Source organism: Homo sapiens, chromosome 7 (assembly GCF_000001405.40).
Source record: "Homo sapiens chromosome 7, GRCh38.p14 Primary Assembly".
Taxonomy (NCBI): Eukaryota; Metazoa; Chordata; class Mammalia; order Primates; family Hominidae; genus Homo; species Homo sapiens.
This window is the reverse complement of record NC_000007.14, coordinates 7,330,495-7,353,747: the sequence shown is the minus strand read 5'-3', so window position 1 is coordinate 7,353,747 and position 23,253 is coordinate 7,330,495. Positions and strand designations below refer to the sequence as shown.

The 23,253-nt window shown below is 36.9% G+C and overlaps 1 protein-coding gene and 1 long non-coding RNA gene across 2 annotated transcripts in view; one reads left to right on the top strand and one right to left on the bottom strand.

Annotated features, from left to right (window-relative positions):
- COL28A1 (collagen type XXVIII alpha 1 chain) overlaps positions 1-15,554 on the top strand; it is a 205,677-nt gene extending 190,123 nt beyond the window's left edge. Inside the window, exons 36-37 of the transcript XR_926936.4 lie at positions 12,949-13,005; positions 14,071-15,554. The gene's annotated coding sequence lies outside the window, so the exon portion shown is untranslated. The remainder of the gene's footprint in view (positions 1-12,948; positions 13,006-14,070) is intronic.
- Positions 1-23,253, bottom strand: part of LOC107986764 (uncharacterized) — a 106,009-nt gene that overhangs the window by 23,665 nt on the left and 59,091 nt on the right. The window lies entirely within an intron of this gene.

Here is a 23,253-nt window from a genome sequence, read left to right as displayed (position 1 = left end):
TATGGAAGCATGTTGTAAATGTTGACTTGGGTGTTTGTCCCTTTGTCTGCAGTGTCCTTCTCCTTCTTCCCTGACTGACCACATCTTAATACTGCAAGGACAACCTGAAGGCCTCTTTCTTTGTGGTACCCTCTCATCTCTACCAATTGAGTGGCAACCAAAATGAGTGGCTGAGGCACAGGTCTCAATGATCGAGGTTTATTAAGCCAACTTTAGGGCAAATCCAGGGAAAACACCCATTTGAAGAGGCTTTCAGAAGGTTTAGTATTTATACATTTCTGTAAAGTGGGGAAGGCATGCAGGAAGAGGGGCAGCTAGGCAGAAAGGCAAATAGTTATATTCCTGTGTGTCTTTCATTAGTGCCCAGTAGATCTACATTTTACACAAGACAAGTTGAAGGTCTGAAGAGAAAAAGAGAGTGAAGCAAGAGCCAATTATGTAGATGTCTCTGGGTAGGTGGAGGAAAGATTGATCTCTTGTCTTTGTTCTGCACCTGGGAAGATAAACTTGTAATCAATGTTATCAGTGTGGAATTGAACAGACTTCAGTTTAGGAACTAGACTTGGATTGTAGACCTATAGTTACAACTGGCATGTCCTTGTTTGTGGGAGGCCAGGAAAGGATTTACCTATGAATGATCTGTTGGGGGCAGTGCTCTCCAGGTACCTAATGCCTTTTACTTTTCCATGGGGATCTGGCTGATGCACAATGTAACAGCTATTCATTTGGAAGAGAGTAATACAGTGACTCAGCCCCAGGCTTCACCTTTCCTTTTGCATAAGAATTTGGGGAGGTCCCGAGATTTTTTTCCTTTCCCTTACGTGGTCCACTCACTCCCAACACTAAGGACCCAAAGCCCTTGGCTTATGCCTCCATTCTGCACACTGACGTCAGGCTGAGCTACTTTGCTCTTAGTTGAGGCACATCTGCATTAATTTCCTTTTGCTGCTATAACAAATTACTACAGATTTGGTGGCTTAAACAACAACAATGTGTTATGTTATAATTTTGTAGGTCAGAAGTCTGATGAAGGTCTCACTGGGCTAAAATCAAAGTGTCCATAGGGCTGTGTTTCTTCTGGAGGATCTGAGGGATAATTCATTTCCTTGTCTTTTCCAACATCTAAAGGCCACCCACATTCCTTGGCGCATAGTTCCTCTATTTTTAAAGCCAGCAACAGCATGTTGGGTCCTTCACATTCTGCCATCCTTCTGGTTTTCTGAGCAGAGCTGGAAAAGATTTTCTCCTTTTAAGGACTCATGTGATTAGATTGGGCTCACCTGAATAATCCAGAATAATCTTGCTACCTCAAAGTCCTTCAGTTTAGTTACATCTACAAAGTCCCTTTTGCCATGTAAGGTAGCATATATACAGGAGAGATTGGGGAGCAGACATCTCTGGGGCCATTATTCAATCTGCCACAACAGCTGTGTCCTCTGCCTGCTCTTTGAGCTACTTAAGAGCGAAGACATGCCTTGTTTATCTTTGTATCCCTAGTTCCTTACATTTAAGAAGAACTCAATAAATTAAAAATTGAACTCATTGTATAAAAGTCATTACAGAAATAATGAGCTACTTGCAAGACGGGAATAGAAAAAGATCAGAAAACAAACAAACCAAAAAACAACCCACACTAGTTTAAAAGGAGACTAAGAGAGAAGGGATATATCAATGAGTGAGGGTTGTGGAGACCAAGGTTTTGTCATGCAGATGAAGTCTCCAGGTAGCAGGCTTCAGAGAGAATAGATTGTAAATATTTCCTTTCAGACTTAAAGAGTGTGTTCTATCAGTAATTCCAAAAGGAAAGAGAGTAGAATGAGACAAGTATGGCTCCCTCTTCCCATGATGGCCTGAACTAGTTTTTCAGGTTAACTTTGGAATGCCCTTGACTGAGAGGAGTGTCCATTCAGATGGTAGAGGGGGGCCTTGGAATTTTATTTTTGGTTTATAGCCCCAAGTCATATGTCACACTCACTCATACACACACATACACACACACATGACATTTTGTTTTTTTAATTTTTAAAATATTGGACTGATTTAATGTCTATATGTACTCATCATTTTACATAAATTAGTAATTTTTGAAAAAATCTTTCATTTAAATGAACTAATTCATTTAAAGTCACATCAGACTCCAAAAATTAGGAATCCCTAAAGCCTGTTTTAATCAAGTTAAGAAAATATGGGCTCTTAGAATTACCAAGAAATCTTGGAGTCTTCCAATCCTATGTCCCCTCTATTGCTATTGTAACCTTTAGACAAACACCCCAAGCAACTGGGCATTCTTGGGGTTTCAGGAAGGTTATTATCTCTGCCAAGGGCAGCTCATTCTTAGACAACACTGCCTTCTGTTGCTGTAATTGGAGCTGGATGTCTTCTGTGGCTTCTGGCCTCCTACTCTGACCTTGTAAAGCCAATCATAATAATTGTGTTATTATTGTAAGACAGTCAATATATCCTTTCTCATTCTGGCTGCTGCTGCAGCTTCTCCTGTTTCCATGGCTCTTTTACCATCCTATCCTCTAATTCTGAGCGTGCCCTCTGGCTTGTAAGGATGTTTTCGGTGACTAAAGTGGGGGAGAAGAACAAACCAGAATGTTCCTTCTTCTAATTCTTATACTCTTATGGATTCCACCTCAGATGGTTTCCACGTCAATAAAAGACAAAATATCCCTCTAGTTTGGCAGTAGAACAAAACTGAGAAATTACATAGTCAGAATTCTAAATCAATAAGTAAATTGAGACTTGTGGATTGCATAAACAGCAAAGACTTTCTCTATTTTTCTCTGAAATCGACTAGAAGCTTAAATTTTATTTTCACCACCCTTCAAATTTGCCCTTAAACTTCACACTCAGTTTCTTGACATTATTTGTAAATGCTAATGGAATGTTCCAGTTATTTCCTTCTTGGCATATCTGTTGGTATTATGCCAAAGTATCATTTGGATACTTTTTTTTTGTACGTCTTAATAAGGAGTGCTATGGTTTGCCAGTATCTGCAACTTGGGATTTTTCTCAAACTGATTCCGTTAAGAATAAATCACTGCTGAGACTTGCCTTCAGCGGTTTTAAAAAAAAAAAAAAAAAAAGGAAAGAAAACAAAAAACAGAACATCTCCCTGCTGGAAAATGAAACAAAACAAAAACAACTCTTGCCTTTAAGTAATTATCTCATCTTTAATCTTCTAAGAAATAAATATTGGAATTGGTATAGACTTTGCCTCTGAGGTATTATGTGTTTTACTATTAGAAAAGGTTGACAAACACAGTGAGATTGACTAAAATTGTGCTTCTTCAAATTTTGGAGCATTATCTTAGCTTTCCTTATACTAAAGATTAGAGGCCAAGTCTATTACATATGTCTTGTCTCACTCTCCACCTCCACTGTACACCAGGAGTCCCTGTATTCCATCTCTCTGTGAATGGCACAGTCACCCAGCCAATGACTGCAGCTGGCCTCTGAGAAACATCCCTGAACCTTTCATCTCCCTCACTCCTCATATCCAATTGCTCAGTGGGTCTGGTCTATCTTACTTCTTCCTGTTCCTCTCCACCCTGAGACTGTCATTGCACCTGGCTTCCAAATTGGCCTCCTCTTCTCCAATCTTTATCTGCCCAGTACTGTGGAGTTACAGTAATTCTGATCCAATTATTTTCCTCCTTCAAATGCGTTAAGGGCCCTCCATATTCTTTAAGATAAAGGGCAAACCTTTTAGCATCATATTCAAGGTTTTTCAGGACCTCTCTGTCACTTATATTTCCAGGTTATCTCTCTCCATGTCCTTAAATTTGTTCTTCAATTCAGCTACACTGAACTATTTGCTTCTTTTTGAGAGCACTATTCATTTCCCTTTGGAATTTTCCCTTCTTCACTCCCTCCCTTACTCTCTCCCTACCTCGCATTTTCTTTCTCTTCTTTACTTCCTTACTTACCAAGAAGTAACAGGGACCAAATTCTCTCTCATGCCTGAAACAACCAAAAACAGATAAAATATATGAAAAGATGCTTTGCAAAATCAGGCAAGGAAGAGCAGTGATCCCTGAGAGGCAGGAAAGAAAGTGAGGTGAGCCCTGTGATGGCCCCAGCTTACTGCTTTGAGAGAGTTTCCAGGCCATAGCACAGAAAGGGGACACCAAGTCAGAGCCTGGCAGTTTTCCAGGATGGACGGGAAAATACTGGAGTCCAGGAAGACTAAGGCAGCTAGAATTCTGAAGGAAGAGTACTGTAAAGAAAGGAATTTCACAGAAAGAAAACTTAGGAGATCTGCAGAGGGTTCACCTTGAGCATTCAGCTAAGTACTGAGGGGTGCATGCAAGTGAGGAAACTACCCAAAGCCAGTAACAGAACCAACTGAAAGGATTAGAGGGAGCAGGTGCTAATACTGGGATAGAAATAGTGCTTGTCACACCAGCCAGACTGGAAAACCTCAAGATTCATGAAGTATTGGATAGACTACGTATTCTGGGCCGTAAATAGGTGCTAATAAACTTAAAAGAATTCAAATCATACAAAGTATGTTCTCTTATCACAATGGATTTAAAATAGAAATCAATTATAAACAATATATTTGGAAAACTCTTAAATATTTCTAAACTATATAGACTACTTTAAGGTCCATATGTCAAAAAATAAACCATAGAGGAAATTTTAAAATGTTTTGAATTGATTGAAAAGAAGGACACAACATATCAAAATTAGTAGCTGGGTACAGTGGCTCATGCCTATAATCTCAGCTATTTAGGAGTCTGAGGAGGGAGGATTGCTTGAGACCAGGAGCTCAAGAGTAGCCTGGGCAACATAGTGGGATGCCATCTCTAAAAAAATAATTTAAAAAATTATCTGGGTGTGGCGGCAGGTGCTTGTAGTTCTAGCTACTGGAGAAGCTGAGACAGAAGGCTCACCTGAGCCCAGGAGTTCAAGTCTGCAGTGGACTATGATTGTGCCACTCTTAAAAAATATTGCGGGATACTGCTAAAGCAGTACTTAGAAGGAAATTTATAGCACCAAATGTCTACTAGAAAAGAAGAAAGGTCTCAAATCAATGACTTAAGCGTCCACCTTAAGAAATGAGAAAAGAAGAGCGAATAATAAAAAAAAAAGAGCAGAAACTAATGAAATAGGAAGCAGAAAATAAATAGATATATACATGTCAAAACTTCTTAAATTGTACGCTTTAAATATATGCAGTTTATTGTGTGTCATTTATAGCTCAATAAAGCTTTTAAATGTTTTTAAAAGTATCTTGTAGGAGGAGAGGGAGAGGGAGAGTGAGCGAGTGAGAGTGTGCTAGAACTCACCAGAGACTGGAGATCTCTTATGAGCTTGGCATTTTAATTGACACTGCCCCTACCTAGGGGTAAATGTGTCTCCTTTGGTGACCTGAATCTGATTATCATATTAGCATCTCCTAATCTTAAGGGGAGAAGCTGGAGTTTTGAGAGATGGATGGAGCTCTTCACCTCCCCCTTACACTACGTAACTCATAGAGCAGCTAGAATCGCTCCAATGATACTTGCAAGTCCTTCTGAACTCCAACTTTACTCTCATTGTCCTCGTCTTAGTTAACGGCATCAAAATGTATCCAATTTCCCAAGCTTACCTTCAGCTGTTATCATCCTCCCCCTTTCTATAACTCACTGAGTCCTGTCAATTAGACCTCAGAAATCTCTCAAATCTATTTCCTCCTCTATATGTTGACTTCTGCTATTTTTAAATGTTCTCCTTAGTTTTATTAGTTGCCATGCCAATTAATGCCTCATAGAATCATTAGAAATATTCTTCCTAAGATACATATCAGATTAAAATATTACCCCCCTCCCCCATTGCCTACATGAGGAGGCTCAACTTCCTTACCAGGGCTGATAATGCCTTTCACAATCCAGCCTTCATCCTGTTTCAGCATCCCCTCCACACCTTATGTTTCAGCTCCAGCCTTCGCTTAATAATCCCAAACATATTAGGTTGGGCTTGTTTTTGGTATTTTTGCCTTTGTGTCTTTGTACCTGCTGTTTCCTCTGTCTCTTCTCCACATGGCAGTCTCCTACAGACTATATAAGATTTAGTTAAAATATCTTTGATAAAGTCTTCCTCATCTTTGCCCCAGAAATGGCTCCCTTTTGTTTGACTCCCAAATGGTTTTGCTCCAGTGGTATTTACTAACAGCACAAATAAGATGTTAACTAACTGCAACCTGGGGCAGTGAAGTTGGGCTGAGAGAAATGACTGAAATGCTGGTGCAAAAAGGAGGTAGCCAGAAGAGAGAGGAACTGCTTAGGTTGGACACTGCAGTATTCCCCTTTCTTGGAGCCACTTAGAGACTGAGAACATTTTTAGAAATATAGCAATAAAATATGAACAGCCATTTTTCTTAGAATAGACATAAGAAGAAAGAGCTATGTTCTGGGTATTTAGAGGCTTGCAATTATATTAACCCACCCACTGGGAAAGAATTGATTTGCTTAATGACAAAGGGAGCTGTGTCATTCAAAGGAGGCTGTAACAGGTATTTTAAGTCAGGGCTCATGCACCAGGGACAAGAAGGAGATCAGTCATTTCCTTACACTGCCTGGTATGGCCAAATACTAATTGAAAGCTCATATACATTGTTTTTTTTGCTAGTGTGGACATTATAATTCATCTGAATCAAGATCCATCACTCCATGGAAAAAAGCCTTCTGGTATTAAGAAATGAAAGTCAGGTTTCTTAATTCATGTCTGCTAAAATAATGTTGCAATTGATTTATCTGGTTTGATAAAGAAAAATAATTTTAAATATCTTAAGATAATAAAGCTTTGAAACTTGACCCTATAGATAATACTTATCCTTCCAGTATCAAAAGGCTCTGGCAAATAATTTTTAAGTGGAATGTTGGCATAACAATTTGGAAAGTTTTTCTCGTGATATATTTGCTATCTTCCTTTTCCCAGAACTTAGTTCAAATTAATGAATATCTTTCTTAAGCCCTTTTCCTAGTACAAATACTGCCCCTCCTTCAGCTTATTTTTGTTTTACCTTGAGCTTAAATGAGTTTCCAAAATGAATGAATTTTTCATTATTTTATTTTGAAAAAGATCTCTCAGATCAATGACTATAGGAAATTCAATGGTATCATTTGATTTCCTGAACCATCAACTATAATATAAAATAGACATGAACATATTAAAGGGCTTGAGTCATTTTCTGGTATTTTCTGTATGTTTTCTTTAGTTGCTACTTCCACAATGGGAGAAATCTTTATTTTCATTCTAATTCAAACAACATTGTATTGCCTTTAAGAGGGAGGGCTTTTCTAATTCTCTAGATTATCTTCATTTTAGAGAGAATGTTTAGAATGAGTACTTTAGTAAATATAGATTCTTATTAATACACACATTTTGAATCTGTTTAAAATTAGAGACTTCTATTCCTAGCGATATGCAGGACTACTTTATTTGGGCAAATCCTTATGCTGAAAACAACTAATTTCTTGAAGAAAGTTGAATACATTTCTTAAAAGATCTCTGAAATCTTAAAAAAAAAATGATTAAAACTAGCTAATGAGATATTAAGGGGTTCCAAGGCTAAAATCTAAGGGAAAATGGGAAATTAGAGCAAATAGTAGAACACTAGAGCTGATTTTGCCACCAAATACTTGTTATTTCAGAATGTCTTAAACTTTAGTTTTAGTAGCTTCTGAATATAAAAAAGGCAAAATTTAAAGCTCAGGATCACATGAAATGAGGAGTTTAATAGGGTACCCTTCTACCAAAAAAATAATGACTGCAAAGGGACATCAAGGAGCTTGTGGATGATGAAAAATAGTCTATATGTGAAAACAGAGAGATAATCTCAAATTAGATGAAAAACATTAAGTCAACCAAGGAGCTAAGAATCTCAAGCAGGGTGAATATGCTAAATAAACAAAAACCAAAACACCAAAACATACATAGCCACATCATTGTCAAGCTGCTAAAAGCCAAGAATGAACAGAAAATCTGAGAAGCAACAAAAAGAAAAATGACACATTACATCCAGGGGACCAACAAATGTGATTATCAACTGACTTCTTGTAAAAAAACAATGGAGACTGGAAGACATTTTCACATTTTCAAAATGCTGAATGACAAATACCTGTCAAGATGGAATTTGATACCAGTGAAACTGTTCTTTTAAAATGAAGATTTTAAAAAAAGACACAAAAAAACAAAAACTGAAGGTAATTATTTTCCAGTAGATAGGTACTATAAAAAATGGTATAGGAAGTTTTTTACCTAAAGGAAAATTATACCAGATGGTAATTTGGATCTACTGGAAGGAACGAAGAACACCAGAAATGGTAACTATGTAGGTAAAAATAATATACAAGTAGTACAGGATCTTGGATTTTATAATTTGATTTCCTGAGCCACCAAACACAAGATAATAATGAACATATTAAAAGCCTTGAATAGGTTTCCATTATATTCTGTATGCTTTTTTTTTAAAGTTTCTGCTTCCATCATGAGAAACTTTTATTTTTCTCTCAATACAAACAACATCATGTAACTTTTAATAGGTAGAGCTTTTCCATTTTCTGATTTCTCACATTTTATTTTATTTTGCTGTTTCTAGTTACTTTATTAAGGGGTTGTTAATAAAATAACATAATATGGTGCTGCTTTTGCAAATTCAGCAAGTATATCACACAAAAGAGAACGCCCCCCACCCCCGCCAACACACAGACACCTCTTCAGGCGAAAGGGGTGTGTGTGTGTGTGTATGTGTATTTCTTGGCCAAACTCATTTCTCCTGTCCATTTTCTTTTGGTTGTGCACCTGCAATTTGATCTTGCGCTGTAATAACTCAATTTTGCCTAATCTGATTATATCTGACTAAAAATGAAAAGGAGCATCTAAATGATGTATTGACAGGTTTGTCAGAAAAAAGCGTTCAGCCTTCCAGCAGATTGCAGCAGTTTAATGCAGGGTTTCTTAGCCTTGTTGCTGTTGACATTTTGGTTGCGTAATTCTTTGTTGCTGGGGGGAATGTCTTGTGTATTATAGGATGTTTAGCCTCATCCCTAGCTTCTACCCACTAGATGCTAATTTCTCACATTTTAGAAAAAAATTCTCTTACTTTTCTTAATGCATTTAAAAGACAGATGATGTGAAACAATACAAAAATTATTTCTCTGTAATTTTGGAATTTAAATCTATATAGATATATGACAAAATAGCACAAAGAAAGTGGATGGAGGTAAATGAAACTATATTGTTGCAAATTTTCTGTTTTTTATCTGAAGTAATTCAATCTTAACTATAAGTAGGTTGAGATAAACTAAAAATGCATATTATAATCACTAGACCAACTATTAAAAAATAATACAAAGAAATATAACTAAAAAGCCATTAGAGGATTACCCTGGCACACTAAAAATTACTTCATTAATACAAAAGGAGGCAGGAAAAGAAGAAAAAAAATGAACAAAAACCAGACAAGACAAATAATGAGACAATAGGCCAGGTGCAGTGGCTCCCACTTACAATCCAGACCCTGTCTCTACAAAATGAGAATAATAAGAACATAAATAGTAAAAGGACAATCATACATTCAAACTTATAGATAACTACATTAAATACAAGTAGACTAAATAATCATAAGACAGAGAATGTCAGGCTGGATTTTAAAAGGCAAGACTAAACTATATGTAATGTAAGAAACATGAATGTAAGAAATTAAGAAATGCACCTGCACCTTTATTTTTTTTTTTATTTTTATTTTAAGATAGGGTCTCACTCTGTCACCCAGCTGGAGGCAGTAGTACAATATAGCACATTGCAGCCTCCAAACTCCAGGGCTCAAGCTATCCTCCCACCTCAGCCTCCCGAGTAACTGAGACTACAGGCATGTACCACCATGTCCAACTAATTTTTGATTTTTTTGTAGAGATCAAGTCTCACTATGTTGCTCAGGCTAGTCTCAAACTCCTGGCCTCAAACTATACTCTCTCCTTGGCTTCCCAAAATGCTGGGATTATAGGCATGAATCACAGCAGTTGGCCCATAAATGCACTTTAAATATAGAAAGAGAAATATGTTCAGAGTAAAAAGATGAGAAAAATATACAAGGCAAAGAATAAGCATAACAAAGCTGGAATGGACGTACTCACATATATTATAATATTCTGCATCTTTATTTGCCAAAACTTATATAAACTACGTACTTGAAGTGAGTGCATTTTTTTATGTGTACATTATACCCCATGAAATTGATTTTAAAATAAGTAACACATAAATTAACAGCCGATTATGTGCAGTGGAAGAGAGAAAACTGGAAAATCATTCAGAAGACCTTGTCTAGCACGCAGCAAGGAAAAAGATGAAGAGATTAAAAATATAAAGGAAAAGTTAAGAGACATGGAAGTTAGAGTGAGCAGTCTGAGATTAATTGGAATTTTAGATTGAGAAGGAAAAAAGGGGGCATGAGGCATAGACAATTTTAAAAAGGTGATACCATGTGAAATTTTTCAGAACTGATAAAAGATATCAATTTAAAAGTTCAAGAATCCCAGTGAATCTTAAGTAGGATAAATTTGAAAAATCTACACTTATATATATATATAATATGAAACTACAGAATACTAAAGACGAGACCAAATTTTAAAATCAGACAGAGATTACCTCTAAGAAGGAGCGGTTAGATGTACAACTGGCTTCTTAATAAAATCAGTGGAAACTAAAGGACAGTGAAGGAGTATCTTTCATGTTTTGGAAGAAAGTAATTGCCCACCTAGAATTGTATTTCCTGGTATGAGGGTGAAATAGGCATTTACTGATGAAAAAGAGTGAGGTCAACTCTAGAAAACTCTAAATAAGTTATATAAAAAAAAGGATTCTTTAGGCAGAAGGAAAATGATTCCCAGTGGAAAACCTGAAAAATTAAGGGACAAACAAATTGATAAATATGTATGTAAAAATAAATGAACATTGCCCAAATAATATTAATAATCATAATATGATGTTTTAAAAAGAATTAAAATGCAAAACAATGGTAATGTATAAATCCAAAGTGAGTAAAAGGAGGTAAGATATTCTAATGTTCTGGTCTGAAGATGAAGATGTTGGTTAACTTTAGACTTTGATATGTGAAATATGCATGTGGAATTTCTAGGAAAAGCAATACAAGAATAGAAACAGAGGACATAGCTTCAAATCTAGTAGATGGAAAAAGAAAGGAAAAAGATAAAAGTAATTAATCTAAAAAAAGAAAGTAAGCAAAACAAAATGTTAGTCCTATCAGATAAATAAAAAGCCCAACACAAAATGTTGGATTTAAACCAAAACGTATTCATAATTATATTAAATGTATTCAGACCAAGCATTGCAATTAAGAGGCAAAGAGTAATAGATTGGATAAAAATATCTAACTATACATTCTTTTACCAGAGACAAATCTAAAACAGGCAAACAGGAAGAGTAAAAATAAAAATATGGACAAAATACAACATGCTAATACGAACCAAATGAATGTTGGTGTAGTTATATTGAAGTCAGACAAAGTGATACGAAGGCAAAAGAGCATTATTGGAGATAGAGATTTCACTTCATAATGATAAAAGTCTTGATTCACCAAGAAGATATAATAATTTAAACTTGTATGTATCTAATAACATAACCTCAAAAGATATAAAGTGAAAGGGACTGAACTATAAGGAGAAATAGGCGGAGCCAAAATCACAGTGGGAGATTTCTGTCTTTGTAACTGAAAGAATAACACACACAAATCTTTAAGGCAATAGAATATTTGGATAACATGATTAAGTAATTTGATGAAATGGAAGTATATTGAACACTGTGCCTAACAGCTGCAGAATATATATTCTCTTCATGTATAAATGAAATATTTACAAAATGTAAATATTTATGGACCATATACTGGTCCATAAAAAGCAAGTTCAACAAATTTCAAAGGCAAAGCATTTTCTCTGACAACAATGTAGTTAAACTAGAAATCAACAAAAAGTTCACTAAAATATCCTCATATATAAATGAAGAAACACATTTCTAAAATATTCATGAGTCATTAAAAATTCAAATACAAATTAGAAAATCAATACTACATACCTAGAGAGAGATAATTGAAGGAGTGCTTAAAAGGATAGTTTAAGTGGTAAAACTGTATAATAGCAAAAAAGGCTGAAAATTAATAAGAAGTCAGGTGTGGTGGCACACACCTGTAGTCCTGGCTACTCCGGAGGCTAAGATGGGAGGATCACTTGAGCCTAGAAGTTCGAGGCTGAGGCTGCAGTGAGCCATGATCATGCCAACGCACTCCAGCCTGGGCAACAGAGCAAGACCTTGTCTCTAAAAAATTTAAAAAGGGAAATACATTTTAAAAAAGAAAATAATGAGATGATAAAAGCATCAGCAAAAATAATTCTAAAAAGTAAATTGAAAATAACATAATTCAATGAAATAGAAAACATGAATAGATATGATCAGTGAAGTTGACTCTTTGAAAAGACTAATAAAATTGACACATCTCTGGTGATGCTGAGCAGAGGAAAAAAAGAGATCGGGCACAAATAATTATATCCTCCTTCTACATCATACACTGGGTGTCTGGAGTCGTATAATTTCTGTTGAAATGGTCTGAAGCTTGTTTCCAGAGCCTGTTCTGGCCTTAAGTGGCCAAATGGCAGTGTTGCAAGGATTGTGGACAGCACACAGAGGTGATGACTGTCTACCTATGCATGCACATGGCTCTGTATGGGTAAGTACAGAATGTGGTAGAAAAGAGAAGGGCTTGGACCTTAGCCTGGAGCTGGGGTCATCTCTCCCCATGTGGCTGCATTTGGATGGAACTCTGAAGAGTCTAAGAATTCTAAATTCAAACCAGGTCTTCCTAGTCATTATAAAGGTATATTTACCAAGGTAAGAGGTTATGCCCAGTTGGTGTGCAAATGTACATTTTTTTCTTTTCCCCAGAGTTTGCAAATGATTATAGATGGCCTCAGAGAAAGGATATGTCGTCTGTATGTCAAGGTGAGCCCGAAAGTACCCCGGCAGTAATGCAGGTATAAGTATAAAAAACACAGATTAGAGATGAATCAAGATCTTGCTTAGGGGGAAAAAAAAAGATGGGAAATGGCAATTCCTAGTACAAAGTGCTTGGTCTAAGTGCAAATCATTAATAAGGCAGCCAGTGAGGAGTCATTGAGCTAATTGCCTACGGCCGCATCATTCCCTGCTAAGAGGTTACATTTTCAGGAAAGCCAAGGAGCTCACTGAAGAGGCTGTCATGTATGGGAAAGGATCAAGAAAATCTTGACACAGTGAGCTGGAAAGTTTAGACATCAATAATAACAATGTTAAGTAGTCCCAAGAATTTCATTCAGATGAGAGCACACTCCTGACCTGGGCCAGGTTAGCAGGTTTTCCTATGTACTCTAGCACAATTGACTTCACCAGGAACACTGGAAAGTTCAAACAGGAGTTTTCTTGATATGGTTTTCAAAAATATTGGGATGGATAATTTTTAAAACTTGTATTACCAAAAAATAATAATGGGCCGGGCATGGTAGCTCATGCTACCATGGTGAAACCTGTCTCTACTAAAAATACAAAAAATTAGCTGGGCGTGGTGGTGTGCACCTGTAATACCAGCTACTCCAGAGGCTGAGGCAGGAGAACCGCTTGAATCTGAGAGGCAGAGGTTGGAGTGAGCCGAGATCACACCATTGTACTCCAGCCTGGGAAATAGAGTGAGACCTTGTCTCAATGAAAACAAAAACAAAAACAATAATGTAAGGACTATCAAATCAACATTTGTGCAGGATTTTCAAGTTATTTCTCTTAACTACATTCAGACTTTCATGAAATAAACAAATGTTATTTCTAGTCCTGATCATCATGTAGAAACAATTTGTATGACCTAAAAGTCTACCTAATTTTATCAAGCCCAGAAGAATTTATTTAATTTTCTTACATGTTCTCGTCCAGTATGTACTATTTCTTAACCACCTATGAAGTAGTCAAATTTGGTGGACAACACAGCATGGTGATTCTCATGTGGTCATTAAATAATGTGCCTTTTTTCTTTTTTAATAGTAATCAGATTGTAAAAGAGAAGTTTTATGCAAGAAAATGAATGAATGAGATCTCCCAGGAAAGGTGTGTAAAGTGGAAAGAGAAGAACTCTAGGACACATTTCCCAATTAACAGTAAAGTAATGGCAGAGCATTGAAAATCAAAGAGAAGTCTGCCGAGGATCCCCAGAGGGAGTGACTTGAGAGTCAGAACAGTATTCTGCCTCAGCACGAAAGCCAAAACAGGAGAGTCAATTTTGATAATGCTACTAAAAGGTTTGGTAAGGTTTATATCAAAAGTGTCTACTTAATTGAACAACAGGACAGATACAGAGACCTTAGCAAAAACAGTCTTAGAGGAGTGTTAGGGCTGGTGCAAGACTAGGATACTTAAGGGAGTGAATAGGAAGTAAAGAAGTGAAGAGACCAAGAGTAGTATGTTATTTCAATTAATTTAGCTGGGAATTAAGAGGCAAAAGATTGGATTCGATGAAAGTAGACATGGGGTGTATCAGCTATTGCTGTATAACAAATGGCTTCAAAACTCAGTGGTTTAAAACAATCAGCATTTATTATCACTCAAATATCTACGAATGAGTTGGTTGTTTCTGTCAGTCTGAGCCTGGCTGTGCTCACTCGTGCATTTGGAGTCGGCTTAGAACTGGCTAATCTAGGATGAGCCTACTCAGAGTTTTGGAAGTTGATTTTTTTATTGGCTTGGGTGTTTCAGGTAACTGGGCCATGTTTCTCTCATAATCCAGCATGCTAGTTCACAAGGCAATGGCAGGGTTCTAAGAAAGAGCAGAAGTCTGCAATATCTCTTGAGGCCTCATCATGAATTGGCATATCACCCTGTCACAGCCTGCTGGCCAAAGCAAGTCACAAAGTCAGCCAAAATTCAGCTTAAAGAGAAGGGGATTGACCTCTTGGTAGGAGAAACTACACAGTCTCACTGTAAAGCACATAAGTAGATGTAAAGAATAAGGAAAGTCCTAGCTAGAGCAGTCAGGCAAGAGAAGGAAGTAAAAGGCATCCAAATAAGAAAAGAAGAGGTCAAATTATCTTTCTTCACTGAGATATGATACCTAGAAACCCCTAAAGACTCCACCAAAAGGCTCTTAGACCTGATAAACATCTTCAGTAAAGTTTCAGGATACAAAATAAATGTGTAAAAATCAGTAGCGGTTCTATACACCAATAATATTCAAGCTGAGAGCCAAATCAAGAACACAATCCTATTTACAATAGCTACAAAGAATAAAATACCTAGGAATACATCTAACAAAGGAGCAGAAAGATCTTTACAAGGAGAACGACAAAACAGTGCTGACAGAAAGCAGAGATGACACAAAGAAATGGAAAAATATTCCATGCTAATGGATTAAAAGAATTAATATTGCTAAAACGACCATACTGCCCAGAGCTATCTACAGATTGCCGCCAAACTACCAACATCATTTTTCACATAATTAGAAAAAACTAATTCATATGAAACAAACAAACAAAAAGAGAGCCTGAATAGCCATAGCAATCCTAAGCAAGAAGAGCAAAGCTGGAGGCATCACATTACCAGACTTGAAACTACTATAAGGCTACAGTAACCTAAATAGCATTGTACTCGTACAAAAACAGATACATAGACCAATGGAACAGAGTAGAGAATCTAGAAATAAAGCCACACACCTACAACCATCTGATCTTCAACAAAATCAACAAAAATAAGCCATGGGGAAAGGACTCCATATTCAATAAATGGTGCTTGAATAATGCCAGTTCTTCTGGTGCTAGCCAGAAGAATAAAACTGAAGAATATGCAGAAGAATAAAACTGGACCCTTACCTTTCACCATATATAAAAATTAACTCAAGATAGATTTAAATGTAAGACCTCAAACTATAAAAATCCTAGAAGAAAACTGAGGAAAGACCATTCTGGACATTGGCCTTGGCAAAGAATTTATGACTAAGTCCTCAAAAGCAATTGCAACAAAAATGAAAATTGACAATGGGACCTAATTAAAGAGCTTCTGCCCATCAAAATAAACCATTAACAGAGTAAACAGAAACCTACAGAATGGGAGAAAATACTTGCAAACTATGTATCTAACAAAGTTCTAATATCCAGAATCTATAAGGAACTTAAAAAGCAAAAAACAAGTTAAAAAATGGGCAAAGGAAATGAACAGACACTTCTCAAAAGAAGGCATACATGTGGTCAACAAACATTTGAAAAAATGCTCAACATCACTGATCATCAGAGAAATGCAAATCAAAACTTTAATGAGATACCATCTCACACAAGTCAGAATAGCTATTATTAAAATGACAAAAAACAACAGATGCTGGTGAAGCTATGAAGAAAAGGAATGCTTATACACTGCTGGTGGAAATGTAAATCAGTTCAACCACTGTGATTTCTCAAGGAACTAAAACAGAACTACCATTTGACTCAGCAATTCCATTCTCAAGGAATTAAAACAGAACTACCATTTGACTCAGCAGTTCCATTATTAGATATATATCCAAAGGTAAATAAATCACTGTATAAAAAAGACACATGCACTCGTATGTTCATTGCAGCACTATTCACAATAGCAAAGACATGGAATCGATTAGGTGTCCATCTACAGTGGACTGGATAAAGAAAATGTGATACATTATACCACAGAATACAATGAAGCCATAAAAAGAACAAAATCATGTCCTTGGCAGAAGCATGTCATGTCCTTGGCAGAAGCATGGATGTAGCTAGAGGCCATCACCCTAAGCAAATTAATATAGGAACAGAAAACCAAATACCGCATGTTCTTCCTTGGAAATGGGAGCTAAACATTGGGTACATATGGACATAAAGATGGGAACAATAGACACTGGGGACTCCTAGCATGGGTGGGGAGGGGCCGAGGGGTAAGATACTACCTATTGGGTACTATGCTCACTACCTGAGTGACAGAATCATTCATATGTGAAACCTCGGCATCACACAACATACCCATCTAACAAACCTGCACATATACCCCCTGAATCCAAAATAAAAGTTGAGGATAACTCATTTACCCTGGTGTAATTATTACACATTGTATGCCTGTATCAAAATATCTCATGTACCTCATAAATATATACACCTACTATGTCCCCACGAAAATTAAAAATAAAAAATAAAAGTTGAAATTATTTAAAAAAGAAAAAAATTGGGGCCATTTTTTGCAATCAATGTACTACATGGAATGAAGGTTAGATTTTATATTTGATTTTATTGAAATAGACTTGCTTATATTTAAATGATCCTCAGAAGGAGTTGCATAGAGGAAGAGGTTGAAGATATGGGACAGAGGGGATCATCAAAAGAAGGAAGTTCCTGAGGTAGAGGGAAAGCATATGATCTACAGCAAAAGTGGAAGATGGGTGTAGAGCAGAGCCGTGTGTTGATTTGATGGTAAGAGGTGGAGTAAGTTGTTGTCTGATGGCTCCTTTTTCATTGAGAAGGAGGCAAGATAATTTGTCAAGAGCAAGAGAAGAGGAGGAAAGGTAGGATGTCTATGGATATGGAAAGAAACCTAACCAGGGAAGTAGCATGCCTGGTTGAGATTTCACGTATGACTTTAACGTTTCATCAGCTAACATGCTGTTGTAATTTTCTCCAACCACATTCAGCTGCTTAAATGCAGGCCTAGACAAGATCAAATGTTATGTTCATGTGAGGTTGAGATTTTGCCAGGCCAGCAAACTGGAAGGATGATGGAACAAGAAAGCAGAAAGAGTGGTGCATGCATCATGGAACACAAATCAGACTGAAAGAGAAGGAACTATGGAAGGTGGTTGCATTAGTTTGCTAAGTCTGCTGTAACAAATACTACAGAATGGGTGGTTTAAACAACAGAAATTTATTTTCTGAAAATTCTGGATGCCAGAAATTCAAGACCAAGGGTCAACAGGTTTACCTTCTTCTAAGGTGCCTCTCTTTGGCTGGGAGGGCTGTCTTATCACTGTGTCCTCACACAGTCTCTCCGTACACACACGTCTATGTCCTAATCTCCTCTTCTTATAAGGACACCCATCATATTGGATTAGGACCTACCCGTGTGACCTTATTTTACCTTAATTTACTTCTTTAAAGGTCTTATCTCCAAATATAGTCATATTCTGAGGTACTAGGACTTAGGACTTTAATATATAAATTTGGGTTGGATGAGTAATAGACAATTGGAAGAACATGAGCCTGTGGTTTAAGAGTGGGATGCCTAAATTTATTACTTCAGAGGAACAGTTGCTCATCGGGTGATGACAATGTTTAAGGCAAGGCCATGAGAGTGGGTAGTTGAAGAGGAAAGAGTGATCATGAGCTCAACAAGGTAGCATTCTGGAGGAGTTTTCACATAGAAATGGAAGTCATTTGAGTTAAGGAAGTACTTGGGGCAGAGGGTGCTGATAATAGGAGATGGCTTATGGGGACTGCAAGACTGTAAGAGAATCAGTCCTCGAAGACCTTTGGTGGATATGAGAACTTAAAGGTCCTCCTTCCAGAGATACTTAGGATATATCAAATATAAAGTGTATGGGGAGACTCTGGTGCCTCTGAAAGGAGTCAGCCTCAGACTGGCTTGAGAGTGAGGCCTCATGGAAGAGCCTCCTGGATGGCGGGTTCTGTGGGGCTTGGAGGTCCTATAGGGCCAAGAGAACTGGGAGATGTTGGTGATGCCAATGGAAAGGATGCAGGAGTAGGCATGAGGTCCTTACGCTTTGCTCTTTGAGCTGAATTCAGATTTTAACATAACTCCTTACTTTATGCCTTATCAGCACATAGAGGTTGGTAGCAATAATAAATTACTGAAATATTGGGAAAACATGTTATTTTTCTTGTTTTTAAATCAGGAAAACAAATCCTGTCGTTAAATCAATCCTGTATTTTGAATTCCAGGCTACAGATTTGCCTTCCTGGTGCCTCATTACTATAGGATTATGTTTTCCAAACCAAAAACCTGACACACAAAGGCTGGCAGTATAACAGAAATTCAAAACAGGAGGGTCCTAGACTTTTGTTCTGATTAGTAATAATAATAATAGCACATACCGAGTGAATGCATATTATGTGCCAAATCCTACTCTAAACTTGCCTTAATTTATTTAATTTTCATAACAGTATGCTTTTAAACAGTGCTATAGACTTTGGATTTGAAACAGTTATATATATATTGCAAAAATCCTCTTCTATTCTGTGGATTACCTGTTCAGTCTGTTAATAATGCCTTTCATGATCTTAATCTTATAGTCTTATTTATGTTATAGAGCGATTTGTCAGTTTTTTCCTGTATTATAGCACTTTCCTCTTCTGTTTAAGAATAAGAAATCTTTGCTTACAAGCAAAACCACAATGAGATACCATCTCACACCAGTAGCCAGTCAGAATGGCTATTATGAAAAAGTCAAAAAACAGCAGACATTGGTGAGGTTACAGAGAAAAGGGAATGCTTATACACTATTGATGGTAATGTAAATTAGTTCACCCACTATAGAAAGCAGTTTGGAGATTTCTCAAAGAACTTAAAACAGAACTCCCATTCAACCCAGCAACCCCATTACTGGGTATATATTTTAAAAAATCGTTCTACCAAAAAGACATGTGCACTTGCAAGTTCATCCCAGCACTATTCCCAATAGCAAAGAAGGAATCAACTTAGGTGCCCATCAGTGATGGACTGGATAAAGAAAATGTGATACATGTATACCATGAATACTATGCAGCCATAAAAAAGAATGAAATCTTATTGTTTATAGAAACATGGATGCAGATGGAGGCCATCCTCTTAGTGAATTGACACAGGAACAGAAAACCAAATACCACATGTTCTCACTTCTAAGTGGGAGCTGCAGATTGAGTACAGATTGAATACATACAGACACGAAGATGAAAACAACAGACCGGTGGACTACTAGAGCAGGGAGGTAGGGAGGGGGGCAAGGGTTGGAAAACTATTGGGTACTATGCTCACTACCTGCACGACAGGATCATTTGTCATTTTATGCAATTTTTCCATGTAACAAACCTGCACATGTACCCCAGAACCTGAAATAAAAGTTGGAAAAAAAAGAAATGTTTGCTTAAAAGAAGCCAACAAATATAAAAAAAGTTCAACATCACTAACCGTAAGAGAAATGCAAATGAAAACCACAATGAGATATCATCTTACGCCAGTCAGAATGGTTATTACTAAAAAGTCAAAAAACAACAGATGCTGACGTGGATGCAGAGAAAAGGAAATACTTATACATTGTTGGTGGGAATATAAAATAGTTCATCCCCATGGAAAAAATATGGAGATTTCTCAAAGAACTAAAAATCCACTACTGGGTATCTACCCAAAGGAAAAGAAATTATTATATCAAAAAGGCACCTGTACTCTTATGTTCATCATTACATTATTCACAATAGCAAAGTCACGGAATCAACTTACGTGTCCATCGATAGCTGACTGGATAAAGAATATGTGCTATATATACACCATGGAATACTCTGCAGCCATAAAAAGAATGAAGTTATGTCCTTTGCAGCAACATAGTTAGAGTTTAAGGCAATTATCCTAACTCAGAAACAGAAAACCAAATACCACAGGTTCTCACTTATAAGTGAGAGCTAAACAATGGGTACACATGGACATAAAGATGAAAACAATAGACCTAGTGACTCCAAAAGTGAGGAGCGTGGGAGGGAAATGAGGGTTGAAAAATTCCCTATTGGGTACAATGTTCACTACGTGGCTAATGGGTATATTAGAAGCCCAATCCCCACCAGTACACAACATTCTCATGTAACAAGCAAGCACATGTACCCCGAAATATAAAATAAATAAGAAATCAGAAATATTTGCTTATTCTAAGGTATTAAATATTTTTCTTGTTAAAAACTTTATTGCTTTGTATTTCATATTTAAATCTTCAATCCATTTGGAATTGACTTTGAGGTATGGTGTAAAGTAGAGATTAAGTGATTTTTTTTCCATATTGCTATCCAGTTAACTGAGTCCCATTTATTGAAGTGACTGTCCCAAAAGAGGTGAGCCGACATGGGTAGAATATTTCTGAATATTCTCTTCTGTTTTATTGCTTCATTTGTTGTTGTGAGGTTACCATTATTAACCTAAATTTACAGATGAGGAAACTTAGGTGCAGTTAAGAAATTTGCCCTAGATTGCATAACTAGACAGTCCAACCTGTTAATCATATAATACATGTGTCTGCAGAGCAAGTTTACTGGAAGTTATTACATTTTTCTAAGGAAGTTCCCAAATCGATTCTTCAAAGAATACTCCTCCCCATTGGGAAGTGGTATCAGGCATTAAGGGAAGAAGGTTTGACACAGGAAGGAGGTTCAAGTTAGACAGATGTGAGTTTGGATCACAATTCCACATTTACTAGCAATAAGAATGCAGGCCATTAAGCCCACCAAAATGCTTTCTTTATCTGTGAAATGAGATAAGTAACACCTATCTAGCAAGGTTGGACTAAATCCAAGCCAGGCTGTGGATATATAACCTAGGACATAGTACTTATTAATATAATTTACTTCCGAATTCTTTGACCAAAATGCTTGAGCCTGAAGAAATTCACAAGTGAATGTTATGACATATTCTGAACAATTTTGGTGTATTTAGTTGGTTATTGGTTGGCTTGCTTTAGGGGCTGACTCCAATTTGAAATTAAGTTTTTGGTGTTACTAAGAAAAATAAATGGGTAGTTTTCAATACCTAATGGGAAAGAAAAAAGGAGAAGAAAGAATGGAGCTGAGAAAATAACAACTAGTAATTTTGGCTGGATACCATCATGGTGAGCCACAAAGTTTGATCTTTATTTTCATTCTACGTTGCAAATATTTGTTATCTTGGGATTATGGATGAAAAATACACAGAAAGTAAGCAACTTGCCCAAGGGATTACTGTTCAGTTAATCTCAGATTAGGACGCATGGCTTGTTTCTCCACTCAGATGCTTGTGTTGCCTAACCGGTTGTCAGGAACCTGTGGTCACAGGCATAGTTTTGGGAGGCAATTTATACCTCCAGCAAAAACAGATCCTCTTAAAAGACGTATTTGCTTCCCTCCCCTGCCTCTCACCTCCTTCTAATTCTGTTTTTTCCCATATCAATTTTTCCTACTTCATCTTTCTCTAATTCTTATGATTTAAATCTACATATACATGATACCACCTGCAGCATTTCCTTCTGGCCTAATGAAATGCTGCCTCCTGCATCAACATCAAGCAGCATTTTGGACACAAGTTGATTCCGGACCACTGAGAAGCACTTGTGCAGCAACTCAATCCTATTAACTATGGCTTTGCAAAATTATGTTGATTCAAGAGATAATTCACAATTCTCAAATATCTGTAAAACTAACTGGTTTTCAGTTTACTTTAAAACTGCACATGGTGGCACCCATCCTGTTCTGGCAGAGGAGGATGGGGCATACCAGGTCACAGCCCCATCTGGTGTCCAGATTCATCCCTGCTGTGGACAGAGACATCAGGCTGTCACAGACTGACGCCAGTGGACACTTCCATCACCCCACCAGGACCCCTTGCTCAGATTAAAGACTCCGGAAGCATCCTTCTGATTATGATTCCCATGAGATGTGCCTATGGGGAGAGATGGATCTGATCCTATATTTCTTATTTGCCTACTGAAGAATAGGAGGGACTGCAATTCCTTAATTTGAGTGATTTTTCAAATACTTGAGCCAATGTAATTGCTCTCAGGAGCTGGGAGGATAAAACATAAGAAAAGAAACACAAAATTTGCCCCAGACTGATGGTTAATATGCAGAAGTCATTTAAGTGGAATGAAACATTTAATTTCAGAATATATTGAAAATGTGAGGATCATTTTAAAAAGCAGGAGAATAAGTCTTATGCCAAATGTTTTTCTTCTACTTTCAGAATCTCAGGATTTTTTGTAGCTTTATTAAATGGTATATGCCTGGGCTTTGCTGCTTAATTATTCCATTTTCTCTGGAACTCTCACTCTGAACCATTCTAGGATCTAATGGCGCACTGGAATTTTAAGCATGTGAAGTGGATAATCGAGAAACTTAGTTCTGTTTCCTTCCTCCAATATTTCAGAGAGGAATTACAGACATATCTGGCACAGAGATAGGTTAGATAAGATGGTCATAGAGTCACTTGAAGGGAAACAAACTTGCCAAACAGGTGGAGAAA